The 22,621-nt window shown below is 37.9% G+C and overlaps 1 protein-coding gene across 2 annotated transcripts in view; it reads left to right on the top strand.

Moving 5' to 3' along the window:
* CFAP54 (cilia and flagella associated protein 54) overlaps positions 1–22,621 on the top strand; it is a 385,979-nt gene that overhangs the window by 148,873 nt on the left and 214,485 nt on the right. For both annotated transcript variants that reach the window (NM_001367885.1, NM_001306084.2), the window contains exons 33-38: positions 5,729–5,959; positions 9,426–9,568; positions 11,442–11,623; positions 13,139–13,366; positions 19,433–19,656; positions 19,762–19,897. In NM_001367885.1, the coding sequence (NP_001354814.1) occupies positions 5,729–5,959; positions 9,426–9,568; positions 11,442–11,623; positions 13,139–13,366; positions 19,433–19,656; positions 19,762–19,897 (1,144 nt within the window). The remainder of the gene's footprint in view (positions 1–5,728; positions 5,960–9,425; positions 9,569–11,441; positions 11,624–13,138; positions 13,367–19,432; positions 19,657–19,761; positions 19,898–22,621) is intronic.

A 22,621-nucleotide genomic window follows, 5' to 3' on the forward strand; every position in this document is an offset into this window, starting at 1 on the left:
CTGGTCTTGAACTCCTGGGCCCAAGTGATCCTCCTGCCTCAGCCTCTCAAAGTGCTGGGATTACAGGCATGAGCCACTGCACCTGGCCTGCATCCTACAATTTTTACTAAAATTGTTTTCATTCTCATTTAGTTCTATATGTTTTTAAATTATCTTTGTAATTTCTGCTTCTTGTGAATAGATCTTATATATCATTGCTTTGATTAATTTCTAGGTATGTTTTTGAAGCTACCGGAAATGATTCTTTTAGAACTCTTTGTTTATTGATGGTATGTAGAAATAGAGTTATTTTTGTATATTGACTTTCCAATCCTTTTCCCCTTTTCCTTTTTCTTCCTTATTGTTCTGGCTAGGCCCATCAATACAGTGCTAAAACAAAAATGATGTTAGTGGGCATATTTGTCTGATTCCCACTTCATAGGGAACGCTTTCACGTTTTCAACATTTTAGCATTAAGAATGGTATTTGTGTCTCTATTTCCTTCAGTTCTGCTGTGATCTTGGTTATTTCTTGCCGTCTGCTAGCTTTTGAATGTGTTTGCTCTTGCTTCTCTAGTTGTTTTAATTGTGATGTTAGGGTGTCAATTTTAGATCTTTGTTGCTTTCTCTTGTGGGCATTTAGTGCTATAAATTTCCCTCTACACACTGCTTTGAATGTGTCCCAGAGATTCTGGTATCAGTGAATCCAGGAGCTGGTTTTTTGAAAAGATCAACAAAACTGATAGACCGATAGCAAGACTAGTAAAGAAGAAAAGAGAGAAGAATCAAATGGACGCAATAAAAAATGATAAAGGGGATATCACCACCGATCCCACAGAAATACAAACTACCATCGGAGAATACTATAAACACCTCTATGCAAATGAACTAGAAAATCTAGAATAAATGGATAAATTCCTTGACACATACACTCTCCCAAGACTAAACCAGGAAGAAGTTGAATCTCTGAATAGACGAATAACAGGCTCTGAAATTGAGGCAATCATTAATAGCTTACCAACCAAAAAAAGTCCAGGACCAGATGGATTCACAGCCGAATTCTACCAGAGGTACAAGGAGGAGCTGGTACCATTCCTTCTGAAACTATTCCAATCAATAGAAAAAGAGGGAATCCTCCCTAACTCATTTTATGAGGCCAGCATCATCCTGATACCAAAGCTTAGCAGAGAGACAACAAAAAAGGAGAATTTTAGAGCAGTATCCCTGATGAACATCGATGCAAAAATCCTCAATAAAATACTGGCAAACGGAATCCAGCAGCACATCAAAAAGCTTATCCACCATGATCAAGTGGGCTTCATCCCTGGGATGCAAGGCTGGTTCAACATATGCAAATCAATAAATGTAATCCAGCATATAAACAGAACCAACGACAAAAACCACATGATTATCTCAATAGATGCAGAAAAGGCCTTTGACAAAATTGAACAACATTCTTGCTAAAAACTCTCAATAAATTAGGTATTGATGGGACGTATCTCAAAATAATAAGAGCTATCTATGACAAACCCACAGCCAATATCATACTGAATGGGCAAAAACTGGAAGCATTCCCTTTGAAAACTGGCACAAGACAAGGATGCCCTCTCTCACCACTCCTATTCAACATAGTGTTGGAAGTTCTGGCCAGGGCAATCAGGCAAGAGAAGGAAATAAAGGGTATTCAATTAGGAAAAGAGGAAGTCAAATTGTCCCTGTTTGCAGACGACATGATTATATATCTAGAAAACCCCATTGTCTCAGCCCAAAATCTCCTTAAGCTGATAGGCAACTTCAGCAAAGTCTCAGGATACGAAATCAATGTGCAAAAATCACAAGTATTTTTATACAACAATAACAGACAAACAGCCAAATCATGAGTGAACTCCCATTCACAATTGCTTCAAAGAGAATAAAATAACTAGGAATCCAACTTACAAGTGATGTGAAGGACCTCTTCAAGGAGAACTACAAACCACTGCTCAATGAAATAAAAGAGGATAAAAACCAGTGGGAGAACATTCCATGCTTATGGGTACAAAGAATCAGTATTGTGAAAATGGCCATACTGCCCAAGGTAATTTATAGATTCAATGCCATCCCCATCAACCTACCAATGACTTTCTTCACAGAATTGGAAAAACCTACTTTAAAGTTCATATAGAACCAAAAAAGAGCCTGCATTGCCAAGTCAATCCTAAGCCAAAAGAACAAAGCTGGAGGCATCACTCTACCTGACTTCAAACTATACTACAAGGCTACAGTAACCAAAACAGCATGGTACTGGTACCAAAACAGAGATATAGACTAATGGAACAGAACAGATCCCCCAGAAATAATGCCACATATCTACAGCTATCTGATCTTTGACAAACCTGAGAAAAACAAGCAATGGGGAAAGGATTCCCTATTTAATAAATGGTGCTGGGAAAACTGGCTAGCCATATGTAGAAAGCTGAAACTGGATCCCTTCCTTACACCTTATACAAAAATTAATTCAAGATGGATTAAAGACTTAAATGTTAGACCTAAAACCATAAAAACCCTAGAAGAAAACCTAGGCAATACCATTCAGGACATAGGCATGGGCAAGGACTTCATGTCTAAAACACCAAAAGCAATGGCAAGAAAAGCCAAAATTGACAAATGGGATCTAATTAAACTAAAGAGCTTCTGCACAGCAAAAAGAAACTACCATCAGAGTGAACAGGCAACCTACAGAATGGGAGAAAATTTTTGCAATCTATCCATCTGACAAAGGGCTAATATCCAGAATCTACAATGAACTCAAACAAATTTACAAGAAAAAAACAAACAACACCATCAACAAGTGGGCAAAGGATATGAACAGACACTTCTCAAAAGAAGACATCTATGCAGCCAAAAGACACATGAAAAAATGCTCATCATCACTAGCCATCAGAGAAATGCAAATCAAAACCACAATGAGATACCATCTCACACCAGTTAGAATGGCGATCATTAAAAAGTCAGGAAACAAGAGGTGCTGGAGAGGATGTGGAGAAATAGGAACACTTTTATGCTGTTGGTGGGACTGTAAACTAGTTCAACCTTTGTGGAAGTCAGTGTGGCGATTCCTCAGGGATCTAGAACTAGAAATACCATTTGACCCAGCCATCCCATTACTGGGTATATACCCAAAGGATTATAAATCATGCTGCTGTAAAGACACATGCACACGTATGTTTATTGCGGCACTATTCACAATAGCAAAGACTTGGAACCAAGCCAAATGTCCAACAATGATAGACTGGATTAAGAAAATGTGGCACATATACACCATGGAATACTATGCAGCTATAAAAAATGATGAGTTCATGTCCTTCGTAGGGACATGGATGAAGCTGGAAACTATCATTCTCAGCAAATTGTCACAAGGACAAAAAACCAAACATCGCATGTTCTCACGCATAGGTGGGAATTGAACAATGAGAACACATGGACACAGGAAGGGGAACATCACACACCGGGGCCTGTTGTGGGGTGGTGCGGGGGGGGAGGGATAGCATTAGGAGATATACCTGATGTTAAATGACGAGTTAATGGGTGCAGCCCACCAACATGGCACATGTATACATATGTAACAAACTTGCACGTTGTGCACATTTACCCTAAAACTTAAAGTATAAAAAAAAGAAAAGAATGGTATTTGTGGTAGGTTTTGTTCTGTGGATATTCTTTATCAAATTAACATTATTGTTTATTTTAATTCTCAAATTGCTCTAGATTTGGCTAGCAGGAGCTCTTCCAGGCTAGCTCTTCAGTTTTTGACATGCTTCCATCATTTTTTTGAGCTACTTCTTACCACAAGATGTTCATCTTGTACACACCTTGTACAGCCCTCGAGTCAATTGATTTCTTTTAGTGAGAAGTGGTATTTATTTAGAATCTAAGTTGTGAGGGCTACTGATGTGGCTTTGCTTCCAGGTCCTCTCAAAAGGCTGAGCTGGGAAATGTATTTGTTCAGATAAATTTATCTATCTAAATCTATCTTATTGTCTATCTAAACATATCTATCTAAATATAGCTATATAAATCTCTGTATCTCTCTATCTCTCTGTATCTAAAACCATAAATTCATTCTAATAACTGGAATTCCAGTTCAAAACCACAGGATACTTTCCGGAGTTTTCTCTTTTTCTAATTGTAACTCTTTTCCCTAATGGTGAGAATCCTGGTTCTGCTAATGTCAATACGCTAGCTTATTTCCTTAAGCCAGAATATATAGAAGGTAGTTTCAGGATTTCTAAATATTTTTTAATTCGGGTGTTTATCTGCTTCCTCTTATGGCTTCACATCACTGAGGATTTCTGCTGATTGTCCTTGTGGAGCTCTGTCTCTGTCTCTTGGGTGTCCTGAGACTTGTTGCTCATGAAGACACAAATCAGGTTATTGGAGCACCCTGAATGTTAAGAACTGTTCAGATGATAGGAGGAAAAGCATTCTGTACCCTCTGTGGGCTGGATGTGAATTCCCTTCTGAGCCACCTGGAGTCTGTCATTACCTTGCCAAGATACCTGGAGGAAGCCTGTCCTGTCGCTGATCTCCCTGAACTATCGCACTCTCCATGGCAAGGAAGATGCAACCGATTGTTGACTCATCTTGGCCTTTTGAGGAGAATTGATCTACTCACATGGGGACAAGATTGATTTTCATTTTGGAAATTATATTTTTAACTTTCAGGATACAGCTATTAAAAAGATTCACATTTATTGGGAAACCAAATAACATCACTAAAACCAACTAAACAATGACAAAAAAACCCTAAAACTCTTGGATTAAAAGCAAATCATCAATAAACTAAAACATATTTAGAACTGAGTGATAATGTAAACACTACACATCAAAAGGAAGCTGCCCTCCTTCCTTTCTTCAAATGTTTCCTCCTCTGTTTCAACATCTGCCTGCCTTCTTCCTATCCATCATTCTTTTTTTATTGTATGTGTGTATGTGTGTGTGTGTGTGTGTGTTGGTTTAGATTCTGAACAATATATAAGTGACCAACATAAATCAGGTAGATTGGTGCTGACCAATAGGGTAGCAACACTGCTAACAGAACAAAAAAAACTGAAAATATGCTTGGAACAATATGCTCTATAAACAACTATATAACTGTGCAAGTAATTGGACTACTTTAAGTTTTGATAGGGATGATTTTAAAAAATTGAATATATATAATACTTGAAATCTAAACTATTAGCTAAAATTTGAGTATATTTTTTTCTGGAGCATATTGAATATGCAGTTATGAAGTAATCTCAGCTATATTCAACTGATGTTTTATTTCCTCTAGAGTCTAACTAATGTTAGACAAAATTTTGCTGCGTTGTTTTTTCCTTAAGGACCAATATAGAGAAATGATTTTCTTGTTTAATATTGAATTTAGTTGATGAATGTGGACATCATATCCTAATTTTGTTGTCTAATCTCAGTAGCCTTTTGGTTATGAAAAATAAAAGCTCTGGTTGGTTTTAGCTAAGGACACAGACTTCAGAGAGAGTTGAAGACAATACATGGTGTCTTTGTCCCTGGTGCTTATCCCTGTGCCTTTTTTTAAACCACCCTGGTTCATATTTCTAGCACTGCAGAAATGATAAATAAGCCAGAAACATTAGCATAAGGGCAGTCAAGTGACTTATTGATGTATTATTTCCAAATTGGAATGATTCTTCTTTATTAAATATCTGAAAGTTCTTGTGTAATTTCAAAACTTCTTTCTCCCTTGGCAGAAATAGGAGAACCAGTGTTAGGAAAGCAGCACAACGATACCTGATGGATTACTTGAATCCTCTAATATTAAGTTATGTTAAAAGAAAGAGGTTCCATCGTCTATCACTTGAAGAGATGCCCTGGAGAGCTCAGATGAACCTGTATCTAGCAGGTGCACACTTTAACCTGGTTTTACAAAAGCTATGGGAGTGTACGAAGATGAAATTTGGCACATCACATATGATGGTCAGGTATAGTATATTACTGATGAAAAATACTTTTTTAGTTTCATGAACATGGATTGTATTTGTATGTTCAGAGCTCCAATGGTGCTAACAACTTAAGGAGGTTTACAGAGTGCTTCTATCTTTATACTGGCTCTATTAGTCTGTTCTCACACTGCTATAAAGAACTTCCCGAGACTGGTAATTTATAAAGGAAGAAGGTTTAATTTAACTCACAGTTCCATTGGGGAGGGCTCAAGAAACGTAATCATGGTAGAAGGGGAAGCAAACATGTCCTTCTACACATGGTGGCAGGAGAGAGAAGTGCAAGGGAAATACCATATGCTCATAAAACGATCAGATCTTGTGAGACTCATTATCATGAGAACAGCATGGGGAAAACTGCCCCCATGATTCAGTTACCTCCACCTGGTCCTGCCCTTGACACGTGGGGATTATTACAATTCAAAGTGAGCTTTGGGTGGGGACAGAGAGCCAAACCATATCACTAACCATTGGTTTATTTCTTAAGTTTTAATCTCAGAATCTTTCACAATTATGTGCTGGATATAAGTGATAATTTGATTGTAGCTTGAATATGTTTGTTGATCTAGCTTTCAGTGCAAGGGTAAAATGTAATTCCAAGAGAAGTTTAATATGAATTATAGAATAAATGTAGATATTAGTAGGCATTAGGCAAATGTCTATTTCATAGAGGCGTACTTTAAGATCATATTTACTCACCCAATGTCAATTTTCTATCATTAACTCAACAGACATTTTTAAGCACTTACTGAGTGTCTTTGGCTAAGTGCTGTGAGAGATAAAAATAGAAGATACATACATAATATGGAATACTGTGTAGCTATTAAAAAGATACAAAATCAATGAGCAAAAAGCACAAGCATTCTTATACACCAATAACAGACAAACAAAGAGCCAAATCATGAGTGAACTCCCATTCACAATTGCTTCAAAGAGAATAAAATACCCAGGAATCCAACTTACAAGGGATGTGAAGGACCTCTTCAAGGAGAACTACAAACCACTGCTCAATGAAATAAAAGAGGATACAAACCAGTGGAAGAACATTCCATGCTTAGGGATAGGAAGAATCAATATCGTGAAAATGGCCATACTGCCTAGGTAATTTATAGATTCAATGCCATCCCCATCAAGCTACCAATGACTTTCTTCACAGAATTGGAAAAAAACTACTTTAAAGTTCATATGGAACCAAAAAAGAGCCTGCATCGCCAAGTCAATCCTAAGCCAAAAGAACAAAGCTGGAGGCATCACGCTACCTGACTTCAAACTATACTACAAGGCTACAGTAACCGAAACAGCATGGTACTGGTACCAAAACAGAGATATAGACAAATGGAACAGAACAGAGCCCTCAGAAATAATGTCACATATCTACAACTATCTGATCTTTGACAAACCTGACAAAAACAAAAAATGGGGAAAGGATTCCCTATTTAATAAATGGTGCTGGGAAAACTTGCTAGCCATATTTAGAAAGTTGAAACTGGATCCCTTCCTTACACCTTATACAAAAATTAATTCAAGATGGATTAAAGACTTAAATTTTAGACCTAAAACCATAAAAACCCTAGAAGAAAACCTAGGCAATACCATTCAGGACATAGGCATGGGCAAGGACTTCATGTCTAAAACACCAAAAGCAATGGCAAGAAAAGCCAAAATTGACAAATGGGATCTAATTAAACTAAAGAGCTTCTGCACAGCAAAAAGAAACTACCATCAGAGTGAACAGGCAACCTACAGAATGGGAGAAAATTTTTGCAATCTACTCATCTGACAAAGGGCTAATATCCAGAATCTACAATGAACTCAAACAAATTTACAAGAAAAAAACAACCCCATCAACAAGTGGGTGAAGGATATGAACAGACATTTCACAAAAGAATACATTTATGCAGCCAAAAGACACATGAAAAAATGCTCATCATCACTGGCCATCAGAAAAATGCAAATCAAAACCACAATGAGATACCATCTCACACCAGTTAGAATGGCGATCATTAAAAAGTCAGGAAACAAGAGGTGCTGGAGAGGATGTGGAGAAATAGGAACACTTTTACACGGTTGGTGGGACTGTATGTAAACTAGTTCAACCTTTGTGGAAGTCAGTGTGGCGATTCCTCAGGGATCTAGAACTAGAAATACCATTTGACCCAGCCATCCCATTACTGGGTATATACCCAAAGGATTATAAATCATGCTGCTATAAAGACACATGCACAAATATGTTTATCACAGCACTATTCACAATAGCAAAGACTTGGAACCAAGCCAAGTGTCCAACAATGATAGACTGGATTAAGAAAATGTGGCACGTATACACCATGGAATACTATGCAGCCATAAAAAATGATGAGTTCATGTCCTTTGTAGGGACATGGATGAAGCTGGAAACTATCATTCTCAGCAAACTATCGCAAGGACGAAAAATCAAACACCGCATGTTCTCACTCATAGGTGGGAATTGAACAATGAGAACACATGGACACAGGAAGGGGAACATCACACACCGGGGCCTGTTATGGGGTGGTGGGAGTGGGGAGGTATAGCATTAGGAGATATACCTAATGTTAAATGACGAGTTAATGGGTGCAGCACACCAACATGGCACATGTATACGTATGTAACAAACCTGCACATTGTGCACATGTACCCTAAAACTTAAAGTATAATAATAAAAAAAGAATAATGAATATAAACTATTTATTTTTTTTGATGCAAGACTGTTCAATGCCTAGACCTTATTTTAAAAAAGAAATGAGGGCTGCGTGCAGTGGCTCACACCTGTAATCCCAGTACTTTGGGAGGCCGAGGTGGGCGGATCATGAGGTCAGGAGATCGAGACCATCCTGGCTAACACGCTGAAACACTGCCTCTACTAAAAATACAAAAACTTAGCCAGGCGTGGTGGTGGGCGCCTGTAGTCCCAGCTACTCTGGAGTCTGAGGCAGGAGAATGGCGTGAACCCAGGAGGCAGAGCTTGCAGTGAGCCGATATCGCGCCACTGCACTCCAGTCTGGGCGACAGAGCGAGACTCTGTCCCAAAAAAAAAAAAAAAAAAAAAAAAGAAATGCCATTGATTATGGACACATTACTATATATAGTAAGCATTGTCATTGAGTTCTGTTCAAATCAGGTGGTTTTAAGTTGAAATAAATTATCGTTTCAGAGCTCACAGAGCCGGCACAGATATTTTTATTCCCATTTTCAAGAGCCCTTTCAGAGAAATATATATTGATGTTAAAATTCCTAAGAGCAAAATTACATTGCATAATTTTAAAAGTTAGTGAAAAAATGTTGGGCTTTGATTAAGTGACAAAACCCTTCATGATTTAAAATTTGGGAGTACTCACAAATGTTTTAAAAATAAAAATAGATTGCATTTGACAGATTTAATTCAATTTTGCTTATATTGTTTTTTAATATGATTTTTCCCCCCTTGCAGTTTCCGATCATGTGATCCTAACATGTTTTCACTGTATAATTCAGGAACAGTATTACCAACAAGAAAATTGACTGTAGAAAATTATAAAGCAATGCTTGATTTCCTTCTTACAGCCAAAAAAAGAAAGGCCAACTTACCATCAGGTAAAATAAACATGTTAGTTTATTATTAAATTACCTCTAGATTTTTATTCACTAAACAACACAGCACACATACACATTGTGGACACACAAATGTATACACCCAGTTTTCCAAAGGACCAGCAATTTAGTTGAGTTTTGATATTTTGTAGGAGATTCTTGTTTGCTCTATTTTAAAAAATTTCTATATTCTTATGATATTATTGCATATATTTGGAAATATCTATTTTGTATTTTAACCTTAGCCAATTAGATTGTTCAGCAAATATAATGTTTTAAATTTAATATTCATAGCCTTTGGTGGTTCAAGATAGGTGAAGACTTGCTATTGGGTATTATGTTTTAGTGCAAATAAGTTCCCAAGCAAAATCCATCAAACATACTAATACAAGCAGTCACCCAAACTATCATGATAGCTGATTTTGTATTCAGGGGAATCCACCATTGCCCTAGGATTTCCAACCAGCATCTTCCAAGAAAGCTCACTCTAAGATGAATGAAGCCTTGTTATCTAGTCAGGTGACAGGGGGCTCCAAAAGGTAGAGACATGCAGGTAAACAGGGTTCTTTTTTTTTTTTTTTTTTTTTTTTTTTGGAGACGGAGTCTCACCCTATCACCTGGGCTGGAGTGCAGTGGCGATCTCGGCTGGCTGCAACCTCCGCCTCCTGAATTCAAGCGATTCTCCTGCCTCAGCCTCCCCAGTAGCTGGGATTACAGGCACGTGCCACCGCGCCTGGCTAATTTTTTGTATTTTTAGTAAAGACGGGGTTTCACTATGTTGGCCAGGCTGGTCTCCAACTCCTGACCTTGTGATCCACCTGCCTCTGCCTCCCAAAGTGTTGGAATTACAGGCGTGAGCCACTGCGCCCGGCCGAAAACAGGGTTCTTGATCAGGGTGTGCTCTGGAAACTGTAGTCTGACGAACCTGACTAATTTCCACACCCCTTTCCTGCAAAGATGATGGAACCTGGACACTTTCTAACCAATGATATGGTTCATTTCACAAATAAAAATTTATTTCTAATGCCTTTAGGCTCTTACATACTCATATAGACTTTTAGTAATGACATTTTAAGTGCTATGGGATTTATTGCCAACCAGAGTTCTTGGTATGCCAGTTAATGCCCCAGGAGTGTTGATTTATGTTTGAGGGACTTGGCATGCTTTCTGACTTCTTCTAGGATATAGATTAGATTTCACAGGTATGTGCATATCATACTGTGTATAGTGAAGTATTTGAAAGTGAATTCCATAGCCATAGAGTCTGGTTTTTGAATATAGATTTTAGTATACAGCTTCCTGAGTTTTTCTTTTTTTAAAACTGGCTCTCTACCTAAGACCTACCATGAAATTGGCAATAGAATATTTTGCTACCGAGACTTACTATCTAATGCAGGGTTCTAAGAGAAAGTTGGTGGCAGGAGAAAGCCTTCTTTTTTATGCCACACCAGGAGGGGAATGCGTGGCCGAGGTTGCTGCATTGCCTAACTCCAGAGGTGCAGCTCACTTTCTGATATATTGTCTTAGGAATGGCCTGTTTGGGAGGAAATGAAAGGACAGTAGTATTTTCTATTTTTCCTTTCAAAAAACATGTACATTCCTACTTCTGCATTGTTCCTTTTGCCATCGACTTTGTCTGAAATGACGTTCTCTGTATTTCCCCATATAGCTAAATGATGCCCATTCTTTAAGACCCAAATACCTCCTTCTCTAGAAACTTTCCCTGGTTCATTGTATCTCTGATAGTCTTGTCCTTTCTCCAAGTTTATGTAGCATTTGTTATCTGAATTACTCACTTGATCCTTATCACCTACTGTGTTTTCTGGAACTTAATTCTATGTTTTTAATCATGTCATATCTTATTTTTGTACTGTAGATGCTGAAGAATTTTCTACATTTATTAATTCCATAATGAGTGATGAAAATATGTCCAAGACACAAACAGTTTATGACTCAGACTCTCAATCAGGTTCTAGTGCTAAAGAAAAGGACCGAGGAGCAAATTTGTGTGTAATGGATCATTTTATGAAAATCTTTTTATACTGCAGGAGAGCAATGGTAATGCAATCTTTCTTGTTTGCAGTGTAGTAGACATAAATTTCAGCCCACCAACTTGGGCGTTTAAGATACATTGTGTTTATTTTCTTATTATACATAATTTTAGTTGTGACTTTGAGATCTCATCTTGCTGGGTGTATCCTAAGTCACTTTTGAGGTGTACCTGCAGTGATACTGAGGGCATGTGTTGTCCAGTTGTCAGGCAGAGGGGGGAAGCTTCTTTAGTCATTGCCAGCCATCCACCCAGAGCCCAGGTGTTCTTTGTCCCTGTTCATGCAGTTCCTATGAATATGCATGCACCTCTCTGCCGAGACATGGGGTTCTCTCATAATGCAAGGGGTTCCTCTATGGGGACTTGATCTCTCTTGGGGGTACCATAGATCTCTCTTTTCTTTCTAGGACAGGGAAAGATCTTTCTAGGCTCTAAGAGAACCCTGCCCTTGCCCCCGGTCTCCTTCTTCCCATCACTTCCATGTTCTCTCAAATGCTTTTCTTTCTTTTTCTTCTTAAATATTATATGAGACATGATTAAACCCAGAATTGGAATTGTTAGCTACAAAGAAATCAGTTTCTTTTTTTCACAGCAGGAAGGGCATAGGGCATATACTTTAAACTCCTCAAGAGGTAAAGAGAAATCTATCCTTTCTAGATAAGAAAGGAAGACAGGTTCTCATATGCCCCATGGAGTGGACAGAGTGATTTTTACATAATGTAATGTAAACCTGGATCACCTGCTTTGACCATAAGCATCGAATCCTATCCTGGCCTCCAGCTTCAGGGCCCTGGAAGAGCTGGTCCTGAGCACCTTGCAGAACTCAGCTCCTCTTACTCTTGCTGTTGTTTGGCTCACTCCCATGGGTCAGCAGTCTTGAAAGCACTTAGTTTGTTCCATCCTCAGCCCTCAGTTTCACCTTGCTGTTCCCTGAGCCTCAAATGCTCTTCTCCACCCAACACCCTCACTGCCACTTTCACATGACTTGTTCAATATTCAGATGTTTGCTCAAATGCTACCTCATCAGAGAGGACTTCTTTCCTGACCACCCTGTCTAAAGCAACCTGTCCTGTAATGCTCTGTCAGGTTCCAACTCATTTCTGCTTTATTTTTCTTTATAAAACTTCTTATTGCTTGAAATTATGTTTTTATATGTCTACTTTTCTAGTGTCCGTCTCCCGAAATGAACGTAAGCAGCATGAGGGCAGACCCAGTTTCCCTTGCTCGCTGCTGAATTCCCAGCACCTAGAACAATGGGTTAGCCACGCTGAACCCATGACTCCATTTCCTCATCTGTAAATTGGGTAAAATACTAGTACCTAGTGCACACTTACTTCATGGAAATCTTTGTTCGAAGTAAATGAGATAATGCATATAACAGTGTCTAACTCATGTAAGTGACCCTAACAAATGATGTTAGTTATTTTTACTATTGACACATAATATTTGGAAAAAGATGAAGTTGTTCAGAGATCTGTAACTTTTGGAACTTTGGGATCTTTTAAATTTTGTGTTTGTCATAGGTTCTTGCTCATCGTGGTGGCTATTGGACTCTGCTTCAGAACTGCTGTCGGGCCTTATGGAACTTTACTCAGGAACTACAAATACTTCTTAAACAGGCAGTGGATCTTGATAAAACATTTCCTATTAGCCAAGATGGTTTCCTCTGCACCTCTGTTTTACCATTCTATTTGGGAGCAGAATTACTTATTGACATGTTAATACAACTACAAAATACCAGTTCTATTAAGGTAAAGACACTTTGGTAATTATTTTTATTATATTCAGTTAAAAATATCGTACTGTGCATCTTGGTATAAGTAGAAACTGTTTTTTTTTTTATTTCTCATTTGGTTTGTCTACATTTCATTTGCTTCTCATTATAATTTTGTTTACAATATATAACTTGCATTGATGTTAACTAACAATAGCTTAGCCTGAAAATTTAGCTTGTTATAGGGAAGGGAAAGTAACATGAACTGAACTCCAGCCCCTACATAAATTTGCCTTAATACACTTAATCCTTATAACAATTTTTTGCCAGATAAAGAAATAGATTCCAAGGAAGATCACATAGCTTGAATAAAGATGTGATCAGCTGGTCTTTATTCCACTGCTTCTCTGTCCTGTTCTATTATTCTGGTCTGCTAGAATTTACAGCCATTTAAAATTTATCACACTGTGGTTTAAAGCATGGAAATAAAATTGAAGTAATATAAATAGAATATAACCTAAACGCATTGAAAATTAGTAAACACATACACATGTTGTGCCATGAGGCTTATAACATTTCTAGAGGAAAATATTTGGCAATGGCAGAAAAGACAAAGAGGGTAAATTATTAAGGTTTTTACACTTTATATAAAGTGGTACAATATTAACTCTAAGTGATAAGAATGTATTTAATGATCCCTTGAGTAACTAGTGAAAAAGAGACATAGCTGAAAAGTCAACGAAGTAAAAGGGAAGATTAAGTAATGCTCAGTTAACTCAAAAGAAGGCAGGGAAGAAGGAACAAAGGAACAAAAAACATGGGACAAAGAGAAAACAAGTAGAAAACATTCACTCTAACTCAATGATGTCAATAACTGTATTTACTATTAGTGGGTTAAAGATGCCAAATAAAGGGTAGACATTGTCTGACTGGATAAAAAAGCAAGACACATGTACCCGTCTACCAGGAGAAGCACTCTGAATATAAAGAAACAGGTAGATTGAAAATAAAAATATGGAAAGAGATATAACATGAGAACAATAACGATAAAAAAGCCGATGAGTCTATATTGTTAGACAAGATAATATAAATCAAGGAGCATTATGAGAGATAAAGAGGGACATTTCGTGTTAAGAAGAACCTCAATTAATCAGGAAGACATGTCAATCATAAATATGTATGTACCTAATAAGAAAAATTCAAAATACATTCTGGACATCCAAAGCTTGAAGAACTTCCTGGTTGATAAACACGTTGATGTGTCAGGAGGGTGACATGCCCTGATTCCACAGGGAGAGGGCATGGCAGCTCTGTGCCAGGGACCCTCTCAGACTTCACTCCATGTACCTCTTCACTAGGCTGTTCCTGAGTTTTCTTTACAATAAAACTGTAATTGTAAGTACAGTGCTTTCAGTGAGTTCTATGAGTCATTCTAGTGAATTATCAAATTGAAGGGGCTATGGAAACCCCTGAATTTATAGCTGGTCAGTCAGAAGATTAGGTGGCCTGTCACAACTGTGGTACCGTAAACCCAGGTGGAATGGAAACAGAGCGTAAGTGCACATGATGTGTTCACTGAGATGGGTCATATGCAGAGTCAAAAATAAGTCTTCAAAAATGTAAGACTGAACTCTTGAAGAGTATGTTCTTTGACCATTACAGAATTAAATTATAAACGGTTTGCCATAATATAGGAAGAAAAATCTCCAAATATCTGGAAATTAAATAATACAATTCCAAATACCCCATGAGTCAAAGAAGAAAACACAAGAGAAATTAGAGAATATTTGAAACTAATAATAACACATCAAAATGTATGGCATTCAAATGAAGCAGGGCATAGACGGAAATTTATAGCTTTCAATGCTTAATAGGAAAGAAAAAACATATAATATCAATTATCTAAATGTTTATATATAGAAAAAAAGAGCAAATTAAATCTAAACTAAAGAGAAGAAAGGAAATAATAAAAAGAAATAAAAGAAATGATAAGAGCAGAAATCAATTAGATAAATATAAAGCAAAAACAATAAAGTCAAAATTTGATCTTCTAAATTAAAAATTAAATCTAGTATACTCATAGAAATACTGATGAAGAACAAAAGTGAGAAAAGCACAAATTACTCATATTAGTAGTGGAGAAGGGCTATAACTACAAATCCTATAGATATTAAAAAAGGAAATATGATCAATTTTTGTTAATAAGTTTGATCACTTAGGTGAAATGGACATATTTATTGGAAAGCACAACTTAACAATCTGACACAAGAAGAAACAGAAAATATGAATTGCCCTAAATGTACTAACAAACTTGACTTCATAATCAGAAACCTTCACATAAAGAAAATTCCAGACCCACAATATTTCTTTGGAAAATTTGAGCAAACACACATGGAAGAAATAATACATTTTATACCAATGATTTTTATTTGGAAAATTTAGGCCGGGCGCGGTGGCTCATGCCTGTAATCCCAGCACTTTGGGAGGCCGAGGCGGGCGGATCACGATGTCAGGAGATCGAGACCATCCTGGCTAACTCGGTGAAACCCCGTCTCTACTAAAAATACAAAAAATTAGCCGGGCGTAGTGGCGGGCGCCTGTAGTCCCAGCTACTTGGGAGGCTGAGGCAGGAGAATGGCGTGAACCCGGGAGGCGGAGCTTGCAGTGAGCCGAGATCCCGCCGCTGCACTCCAGCCTGGGCGACAGAGCGAGACTCCGTCTCAAAAAAAAAAAAAAAATTTATGGGGTACATGAGAAAATTTGTTATATGCATACAATGGGTTGTGATCAAGCCAGGGTATTCAGGGTGCCCATCACCCAAGTACAGTACATTTTCGTGAAGTATTGCATTTACTCCTTTTATCTTACTGCTCCTTTAACTCACTCACTTGTCTTCATCCTCTCCTCTCACCTCTCACCTGTAACCGCTACCCTTCCCAGTCTTTGCTATCTACCTTTCCACTGTTAACCTCCATATGTTCACATTTTTTAGCTGCCACATGTAAGTGAGAGCATACAATATTTGTCTTTTTGTGTCTGGCTCATTTCACTTAATTTTTTTTTTTTTTTTAAGAAATGAGACCAGCTTAACCCTAACAAATACCAACTGGAAAAGTATGAACTAATATCCCTCGTGAACATAGATTTGTCAATTCAGTGAAATCTCAGTGAAAATACCAATAGGCATTCTTTGGGGTATGAATTGAAATTCATTTTAAAATTTATAAGCAAATGCAAAAAAATGTGAATGGCCAAAAAAATTTTTTTTTAAAAGAACAAATTGGAGGATTCACTATATATGTGATATCAAGGCTTACTAAAGCTATGGTAATTAGGAGAGTATGATACTGACCTAAAGAGAGAAATATATCAATGGAACAAATAGAATCTGAAAATAGACCCATATATATGGTTTTTTTTTTCCACCAAAGGATTCAAAGCAGTTCAGAGGTTTCAAAAAGAAATGTCAACTCTAGGACCTAGATTGTTGCATTTAAATACATTTATCACTAAAGGAAACAGGGCTTCTTTGGAAAAAAAAAAAAGCTTGACTACCTTACCTCCTATGTGAACTATATTTGAGGATGACCAAATAGTTGATGAAGAGGAATTTTTCTTTACAAAAGTATCCAGGTAATAAATGAAGAAAGGATGTTGGAATTAGAATTACTAGGTTTCTGTAATTCTTAATGAATGAATTGGAGGATCAAGAGCACCTTATGGAGTACACTTGCCAAAAAACAGAAATCTAACTGGAATCAGTTAGAATACTTACATTTATCCCACAATTTGTAGAAAATACAGTGGACAGAAGAACATTTTAAATGAAATTACAGGAATATCCTCAGTATAATTCAGATTATGGGAACTCTACAGGAAAACAATCTGATTTTTTTTAACAAAAAATTTAATAAAGGAGGAGATGAAATCTATAAATTAAAAAAGACAAGAGACATAACCAATTACAATGTTTGGACCTTATTTTAATCTAACTAACACATACAGTTAAAAAAATCTGTAAGGCAATAAGGGAAATGTAAACACTCTTCAGTATAATTATTCAATAATGATTTAAAGGAATTTCTGCTAATTTCTTTTTTTTAGGTAGGATTATAGTATTGTAGTTATGTTTTTGTATAACTAATTTTTACTTTTTAGAGATAAATACTAAAATATTCATAGATTAATTAATATAATTTTGGGGATATAATTCAAAATAATGGGGGAAGTGAGTATGTCCTAAGAGTTGATAATTATTGCAGCTGGTGGTGGGTACATGGGCTTCATTATATTATTTTCCCTACTTTTGTAAGTGTTAGAACTTTTCTTTAATAAAAAGTTTTTAAAAAATCACACATGGCCCATACAAAATCTTCAAAACTTAAAAGAGTCTGGCCTTGGCTGTGCCAGAAACCTCAATCTCCATATGCTATTTTGATCTCCAAATGTCAGTCTTGTTCATTTCTCAGTGTTGTTTATTTCTCAATGTTGCCAAATTTAGGAGATCAATAGACAATTCTCTCCCCCCCCCTCCCCTTTTGGATTGGGATCAACTGAGAGATGGGTGCTGAACAAGGCAATTGAGATAAAATATCAGCTTTGTTGGTTTTTTTTTTGAGATGGAGTTTTGCTCTTGTTGCCCAGGCTGGAGTACAATGGCACAATCTCGACTCACCACAACCTCCACCTCCTGGGTTCAAGCGATTCATTCTCCTGCCTCAGCCTCCTGAGTAGCTGAGATTACAGGCATGCGCCACCACACCCAGCTAATTTTGTATTTTTAGTAGAGACAGGGTTTCTCCATGTTGGTCAGGCTGGTCTCAAACTCCCGACCTCAGTTGATCTGCCCTCCTCGGCCTCCCGAAATGCTGGGATTACAGGCATGAGCCACCATGCCTGGCCCTCAGCTTCATTGTTGATAAACACTATATTAGATAATGTAATAACTACAGAGGACTTCCCTGTCCTTCATCCCAGAAATAAGGCATAGGCATGACTAACTGATAGCACATCTGTGCTTCTAGAAGACTTACTGTAGAATCAGTGAATTACAGTGATTGAGCTCATAACATAAATAAAATGTCAACTACTTTTTAAAAGTATGTCCCATGTGCTGGGCACTGTGCTGAGGATGCAAATTCATGTAAGTCACTGGTGCTACACCTGCTATTCTTACCTACACAGCCTGACTTCAGGTGTGCATACTGCATTTCACAGTCCGATGACTTCCAAAGTCTCTTCTAACTTCAAGGACTACAGCTCTTGTTAGAGGGGATGTTTATCCTCTACTTTTGTTGATACTTCACACCCATGTATATAGGTTACTTTTAGTGGTATTATTGGGATGGGAAGGCTGGACTTGAGTTACCCAACTGTTTTGGGCTATAATCTGGCCCTTATATGGATCTAAGAGGCTTTGTTTTGCCTTAAGAATTTCCAGAGGTATACACAAATGTGTCAGGAACTCATAGGACATGCACACTATTGGTACATAGTAACTCTTTAGGCAAAAAGAGGGTCTCCTTGATGCTTTCCTTCTCCATAGGTGTGACATTTGCATCTAGGAATGGACATATTATTGTATAAATTAACGAATGTAACCAACGTATTAGGGAACTTCATTATGTGTTTATACTAAAGTCCAGTTTCTTCCTAAAAATCTTACCATAATTTATTTCATATCCTTACTTAAATGGATAGTGACTGTATACCAAGAACGATAGACAGTAATCTGTGTTGTCCAATATGGTAAACATTAGCCATATGTGGCTATTTAAATTTAAACTTGAATGAATTAAAATTAAACGAAATTAAAAATTCAGTTGCACTAATCACATTTCAAAAGCTTGGTAGCTGCAGGTTTCTAGTGGCTATAGGGAACGATAATGAACAGCACAAATATATAGCACGTTTCCATCATCACAGCAAGCTTTACTGGATAATACTGCATCAAATTATCAAGCTTTGACTTGCATAAGAAAAATATTTTTTCTTTTCAGTTGAGTTCTTTTCCATGTTACATTTTTATTACATTCAGTTTTCAGAAAAAATATGCAGTAAAATCTGAAATTACACATTTTTTTTTTCACTGTGCTACTTGCAGCCTATTGAAGACAAAGGAGAATTCAGTGTTCCAAGCTGTTATGGGAATATTAAAAATGACAACGGTGGTTCTAGTCTTACCTTTGAGCATCCTTTGGATGATGTAAATGTGGTTGATTTGAAATGGATCCACGACTTTGTATTAAAATCTCTGGAAGTTTTATATCAAGTGGAAAAATGGGAAACACTAGTATCTCTTGCCATTCAGTTCAATACAGTTTCACAGTAAGTACTGCTGTAAGGGCAATTAAAAGTAGAAGACTTCATTGAAAAAAAAAAAAGTCTTTTAACTAATGTTTTCTTTTTAATGTATTCTTTACCCCTGTCTAGTGAGAGGTATACAGAACAAGTGACACCACTTCTGGTGTATGCACAGCGCCAGCTTCTGCTGAGAATACAGAAGTTCAAGGGCCCAGATATTACCCAACAACCTTGTGCAAGGTATGAGGCTGAATATGGAGAGAAGGTAAGTTTAAGTTAGTTCTATTATTCATGCTGTTGTGATTTCTAATTAGTCCACATATAAAATACAAAGATTTAGAAGTCAGATAAATCTTATTATTTCTGCTTTAGTATTTCCACTTACTGGCATTTATCATTCAAATCAACAAACATTATTGAGAGCCTGCAGTCAAGGCAAACAGGAACTAAGTCCCTGTCCACAAGAAGTTCATATCAGGCCAAGACTAACTTAGCCATAAAGCACAATGGGGATGGTGTCTAGAGCCCAGAGTACTTTTTTTTTTTGTTTTTGTTTTTGTTTTAGATGAAGTCTCACTCTGTCACCCAGGCTGGAGTGCAGTGGTATAATCTCAGCTCACTGCAACCTCCGCCTCTTCCTTAGTGTGTTAATTCAGTCTGTGGCTCTAAGTACATCTCTATGATGATGACTTTTAAAATTACATCTCCACTGTAGATCTTTTTCCTAAATTTTGTGTTGATATATCTAACTGCCTGTATCAGCCAGGATTCAATCAGGGGAGCAAAACTCGTAAAGACAGGGCTATTTTATCTTTGGAGGGGAAGAAATAAATTCAGTGTCTCCCACTGTGCCCTCACAACATGATTCTGACACCAGATGTGTGGGAATTTCTCCCCACCACTAAGCAGGAAATCAGTTCTGCAGTGGACACCAGCTGAGTGTCTTTCTTTTTTTGAAACAGAGTTTCACTCTTGTTGCCCAGGCTGGAGTGCAATGGCACGGTCTCGGCTCACTGCAGCCTCCGCCTCCCAGGTTCCTGCGTGTCTTTCAATTCAGTTTCTACACAATGTACCTGGAGATAGCATCAGATCCCAGAGGTGGGGGGGTTCTGCCCCAATTTCCAATGTTGATCTCAACACCTCCTGGGTTCAAGTGATTCTCCTGCCTCAGCCTTCCGAGTAGCTGGGATTACAGGTGACTGCCAACACGCCCGGCTAATTTTTGTATTTTTAGTAGAGACAGGGTTTCACCATGTTGGCCAGGCTGGTCTCAAACTGCTGACCTCAAGTGATCCTCCCACCTCAGCCTCCCAAAGTGCTGGGATTACAGGTGTGAACCACTGTAATCTAGAGCTGACAATACTTTCAGGGGCCCACTAAATGTTTTAATTTCTTTTAAAATAAGAAGAAAAAAATAACTTTCAGGGCAAATAAAATGTTTGAATTTCTACTTTCATATTCTTGTATTTATACCAACGCAATTATAAAATATCATTTTTAGTATTTTTCAATGGAGAAATAGACTCATGAAGGCAAAAGTACCCAGGGGCCCTTGAAAGTCATGGTATATCTTGAATCAGGCAGAGAAAAGAGATAAGTACATTTTTCCATTGACTAATTTAACAAAGTGCATTGACTACCCAATCAGACCCATTGCATACAGTTGTACTGTGGGTGACCTGCCCAAGGGCCCCTGGCATACGTGGGGCCTGAAATCCAGCCCCTCCTTGCCACACCAGCCTATGTGCTTGAGGTGTTGCATCCAGCCAGCAAGGACTCAATTTTCTTCTTCTCACAAAGTTTCCTTATGGCCCAGTGGTAACCTTGCCTCCTGCATATTCTGTATGGTGAGAATACAGTTCTGAGTTCCTGTTTCATAAAGTTTAATTTCAGAGGGTTGGAAATAGGGCCAGAAAATAAACATGTAAACAGATGAGTAGAAAGACTTATAATCATTATAAGGTCTCTGAAGAAAATAAGTCAACGGACTAGAGATGAACTGGGTGAGAGGTGGTAACTTTAGTAAGGGTGATCTAGAAGACTTCTTGGAGATGATGGCATTTGATGAGAGGGGCCAGCCATACAGTGATCTAGGGAAAGAACATTGTAGCCCAAGAGAAAAAGAATGGCCCATGCCCTGCAGTGGGACAGAAAGAAGGCCTGTATGGCTGAAGTGTAGCAAACAAGGGGCATGGGAGAAAGAGGAGGCTGCTCCTTCCGAGGATTTTTTGTTGCTTCTTCTTCTCCCCAGTGTCCCAATGTGAGTGTACCCCAAGACTATGTTCTTGGACCCCTTTTCTTCTCCATCCACATACTCTTCCATAGTGAGTTAATTCAATCTATGTCTCTAAGTACCATCTCTATCATGATGAATTTTGTAATTACATCTGCATTCTAGATCTTTCTCCTGAATTTTGTGTTGATATATCTAACTGCCTATATCAGCCAAAGTTCAACCAGAAGAGCAAAACTAGTAAGACAAGTCTATCTTATCTCTGGAGGGGAAAAAATAAACTCAATGTCTCCCACTATGCTCTTACATGATTCTGACACCAGATGTTTGGGGATTTCTCCCCACCACTAAGCAAGAAATCAGTTCTGCAGTGGACACCAGCTAGGTGTCTTTCAATGCAATTTCTATACAATCTACGTGGAGATAGCATCAGACCCCAGAGGTTGGGGGCTCTGTTCTGACTTCCAGTGTTGATCTCAAGCCCCAGGTTGTGACCTGTGCTTCTGACTGACAGGTGACAAATTAGGGTTCTTATGACCCACTCCTTGGGTTCGATTAATTTGCTAGAGTGGCTCACAGAACTCAGAGAAACACTTGCTTACATTCGCCAGTTTATTATAAGGAAAATCACAAAAGATACAGATGAAGAGATACATAGGGTGAGGCAGAGGGGAAGGGGCACAGAGCTTTCATGGATCCACCAGCCTCCGGGAACCTCCACATGTTCAGAAGCTCCCTAAACCCAGTCCTTTGGGG

The sequence above is a fragment of the Homo sapiens genome, chromosome 12 (assembly GCF_000001405.40).
Source record: "Homo sapiens chromosome 12, GRCh38.p14 Primary Assembly".
Taxonomy (NCBI): Eukaryota; Metazoa; Chordata; class Mammalia; order Primates; family Hominidae; genus Homo; species Homo sapiens.